Raw genomic sequence first — 5067 nt, forward strand, 5'->3', positions numbered from 1 at the left:
TATCATATGGGCTATGTACCCACAAGACGGTATGCTTCCCACATGGCCATGTCTTGGTGGCTACTAGCCTTGTCCCATTTCTGGTTTGCCGCAATCTCTAGACACTTGGGCCTTGTCTAGAGGCACACTCACTCGTCAGAAACCCCTAGATGTGTACCATTCAGGCCTAAAAGCAGCAGCCTTAATGGTCCTGACAAGAGTAGGACACAAAAGAATATCCATCTCAGCCCTGGCTTCTAGGTACAAAGAGTCTTTTACCACTTGCCTCATGTTCTTGGGTGCTACTATCATAATTTTTATGTTTGAAGTTTACATATTGAAGCTGAAATATTGAATTCACATATGACTTTATGTACAGTTATTCACCACATAACAGTGTTGTGGTCTACAATAGACCACGTATATAATGGTTTCATAAAATTATAATGGGACTAAAAAAATTCCTATCACCTAGTAATACCATAGCCATCATAATGTGGAACAGTGTGTTACCCACATGTTTGTAGTGATGCTGGTCTAAATAATATTGTGCTGCCAATCATATAAAAGTATAGCACATACAATTATGTACAATACATATACTTGATAATGATAATAAATGACTATATCACTGCTTTATATATCTACTCTACTTTACATATATATGAGAAAACTTAACTGTAAAACAGCCTTGGGCAGGTCCTTCATTGTATCATAGGAGTTGACAGCTCCATGCATGTTATTGCCCCTGAACACCTTCCAGTGGGACAAGATGTGGAGGTGGAAGACAGTGACATTGATGATCATAACTGTGTAGGTCTAGGCTAGTGTGTGTTTAGGTCTTGTTTCTAACAAAATAGTTTAAAATTAAAAAAATTAAAAATAGAAAAAAGTTTATAGAATAAGGATACAAAGAAAGAAAATATTTTTTTAAACCACTGTATGATGTATTTGTGTTTTAAGCTAAGTGTTATTACAAAAGATTCAAAAAGGCCAGGCACAGTGGCTCACACTTATAATCCTAGCACTTTGGGAGGCCAAGATGGAAGGATTACTTGAGCCCAGGAGTTTGAGACGAGCCTCAGAAACATGGTGAAACTGTCTCTACAAAAACTACAACAAAAATTAGCCAGGCATGGTGACATATGCCTGTAGACCTAGCTTCTCCGGAGGCTGAGGTAGGAGGATCACCTGAGACTGGGAAGTCAAGGCTGCAGTGAGTCATGATCGCGCCCCTGCACTGTGGCCTGGGTGACAGACCGAAAAATAAAAATAAAAATTAAGAGTCAGAAAGGTTTTAAAAATTTGGTTTATAAAGTAAAAAACTACAGTAAGCTAAGGTGTATTAGTGTAGCCTGTTATACAGGAATGTCCTAGGCCTCCATATTCACTTACCACTCACTTACTGATTCACACAGAGCAACCTCCATTCCTGCAAGCTCCATTCATAAGTGCCCTATACAAGTGTACCATTTTAAATTTTCTATACCATATTTTTACTTGACCTTTTGTATGTTGAGATATGTTTAGATACACAAATACTTACCATTTTGTTGCAATTGCCTACAGTTTTCAGTATACCAACATGCAGTACAGGTTTGGAGCCTAGGAGTAATAAGCTATACTATATAGCCTGTATGTGTAGTAGGCTATACCATCTAGGTTTGGGTAAGTACACCCTATGATGTTAGCACAATGATGAAATTGCCTAACAACTCATTTCTCAGAACATATCCCCATTGTTAAGCTATGCATGACTGTATTACAAAGTTTTATGTATCATATGTATTAAAATATGTACTTATAGATTGTAAAAGCAATTTATATATTCACACAAATGTTTAGATTTCTTTACTAACATACTTTAAGACAGAAGTTCTTCAGCAATTATTCTTTAGACTCAGCATAAAAATAATATGCTGAAGACATGGATGTATGTGTATAGATAAGCTTTCATTTTGACCTATTCATTTTTATCTATATACTTTATCACAAAAATTTTGAATGTGCAGACATTTCTAGGGCCTTTTAGTTTCACCCACTTTCTTCATAGACGTTTCCACTTTATTAGAACAAATTTCCTCTTAAAATATGCAGAGATGATAGTAACGATGGACGTTTTTAAAGAACTCAAGTATGAAATGGAGTCCCCTTAGAAGAACAGCTGAGATGTAGCTGCAGCACATTCTATATTCTTTCATAGTCTCACAAACAACTTACACATTGTTTTATGGATTTACACAGATGGATTTTTAATTACAGCTGTTTTCTCTTCTGATAGTTAATTTTGAGTTACCATTTTGCAATGCGAGGTAAGGAATATTGGGATAGTAAATATTCAGGTAGAAAGGGATATCTGTGTAGGACACGGAGTGGGAGCACTTCTTCCAGTGACCTAATGAATCATATTATGGTTGGACATTTCTACCCCTAGGTTATTTTATCCCAAGGGAATGCCTGCAACACACTTCTATAATGACTTTCCAGTACTATACCTCCTTTCCATTTGCACTTCCAATTCTGACACTACTTATTTTTTGGTGTATATAATCTTGTTGGAACTCCTATGACAGGTGCAGAAATGTTCTTCCTGCTTTTAGTCTAATATTTAGCTTTAGGACTTGAAAATATTTTAGTACTACAAAAGTAGCTCATGTTTTTATACATTTAAAAATTCATAAATACATCAGAAAATAAAGGATAGAAAAAATGTTAAATCTCAAATGTGGTGAATTTCTCTTGTTTGTCTTTCCAGGTCTATTCCTACCCATTTGCACCTTGACATAATCCAAAGAGGCTGATCCCCATGGTCTGTATCAACAGACTCCCTCTCCTGTAGCTTCTGGTTTGGCTAATCAGTGGGAGACACTGGCAGAGGAGTCTGAGGCTTGGGTACTTCCCTGGCTGTTCTTCCTCTACGTCACCTGGATTGGCTGTGACCCTCCACCAAATGCCACAGCTCCTGGCAGGTGGTCCTCTCATCACATCGCTCTAGGTTCCTGTTAATTGCCCACTCTTCTTGTTCCTTCAGATCTTGAGCTGATCACTACCCCTAGGATACAACATTACCCTCGAAGCTTTTCCTAAGCTCTGCCCACAACTTTGTAAATTGCCCTTTACTCAGTTCCTCTCAATTATCCAGTCATGTGTTTCCTTCAGATAACCAGGAAATATTCTATCTTCCACAATTTATTGCTTGCTCACACCTGTGTTAATTCTTCCTAATTTTTATTTTGTAAAATTATGTTTTGTAATTTTACAATTTTATGTAAATTTACATAATTATGTAAATTTACAAAATTGTTTTTAATTTTACAATTTTATGTAAATTTACATAATTATGTAAATTTACAAAATTATGTTTTGTAACTTTGTAAAAGTAAGTTTTGTAAAAACATACTTTTCTTTTTACAAAAGTAAAATTATACTGTAAATATATATATTTATATATAGGTATATATATTTATAAATAGGTATATATATATAAAAAAATTTTTTTACCACTGTATGATGTATTTGTGTTTTAAGCTAAGTGTTATTGCAAAAGAGTCAAAAAGACCAGGCACAGTGGCTCACACTTGTAATCCTAGCACTTTGGGAGGCCAAGGTGGAAGGATCACTTGAGCCCAGGATTTTGAGACGAGCCGCAGCAACACGGTGAAACTCTGTCTCTACAAAAACTACAACAAAAATTAGCCAGGCATGGTGACATATGCCTGTAGTCCTAGCTACTCAGGAGGCTGAGGTAGGAGGATCACCTGAGACCGGGAAGTCAAGGCTGCAGTGAGTCATGATCATGCCCCTGCACTCTGGCCTGAGTGACAGACCGAAAAATAAAAATAAAAATTAAGAGTCAGAAAGGTTTTAAAAATTTAGTTTATAAAGTAAAAAAGTTACAATAAGGTAAGGTATATTAGTGTAGCCTATGTATACTGTGTTTATAAAGTCTACAGTATTATACAGTAATATCCTAGGTCTCCATATATATATATATATATATATATATATATATATATATATACACCTATATATATAAATACATATACATATATATACCTATATATAAATATATATACCTATATATAAAAATATATATACATATATAAATATATATACACACACATATATACACCTATATATACATTTATACCTATATATACATATATATATCCACACACACACACACATATACCTGATTTTATCATCAATAAATTATCCACACCAGATGGGACTTAATGTATTCAAGTTCAAATTTTTAGTCAGACTTTTATTTATTTACTTTTAGCCATCCTGCTCACATTCATAAATGTTTAGTTAGATTTTAAAGAATTCCTTAGTATAACCATATTAGTTTTTCAGCATTATAACTCTCTATTCTCCTCCACTTACTCAATGACCCTGCAAAAGTGAGTTACTCACTGTTCCTGAAATATCCTCCCCACTTCCGGCCTCACGGCCTACCCTTTTGCTGAAATTATTTTCACCTATCAGTTCCATCTCAAGTACCTTCCCACATGGCTTCAACCCACTCTGAAACTGCTCTTGCTAAATTACCTACACCCACCCCTCTGCCAAACCTCAGAAGCATTAAACAAGTAACCACCTTCTCCTATTTTGAATCACTTTCTTTTTTTGTATTCTGCAATCTCACTTTCCCAATTTGGGTTTTTCCTTACCTCTCTTGTCCATTTGTCTTCATCTTTCCTGAAGATTGCAACTGTACCAGACCTTTAAATGTTAGACTGTCTTATAACTTATCCTATATATTCTTACATTTATAGCCACTTATTGACCTCATGCAATTTTATGATTTTTAAGACAATACCACTTGTCTTAGTCCATTTTGTGCTGCTATAACAGCATACCACAGACTGGGTAATTTATTAAAAATATGAATTTTTTGTCACAATTCTGGAGGTTGGAAGTCCAACATCAAGGCACTGGCATTTGGTGTCTAGTGAGGGCTGCATCCTCTGGAAGGAAAGAATACTGTGGTGATACATGGGGGAAGTGAGAAGGGCAAGAGGAGGTGACCTCCTTCCGTCAAGCCTTTTAAAAGGGATACTTAATTCCATTTATGAGAGATGA

The 5067-nt window shown here is 35.4% G+C and overlaps 1 annotated feature.

Annotated features, from left to right (window-relative positions):
• Positions 4518-4587: an enhancer, noted in NCBI's record as "active region_4378". NCBI's record gives its function as "activates an Ori minimal core promoter by ATAC-STARR-seq in GM12878 lymphoblastoid cells {active_cell/tissue: GM12878}" and the evidence as "EXISTENCE:reporter gene assay evidence [ECO:0000049][PMID:35858748]".

The sequence above is a fragment of the Homo sapiens genome, chromosome 11 (genome assembly GCF_000001405.40).
Source record: "Homo sapiens chromosome 11, GRCh38.p14 Primary Assembly".
Lineage (NCBI taxonomy): Eukaryota > Metazoa > Chordata > Mammalia > Primates > Hominidae > Homo > Homo sapiens.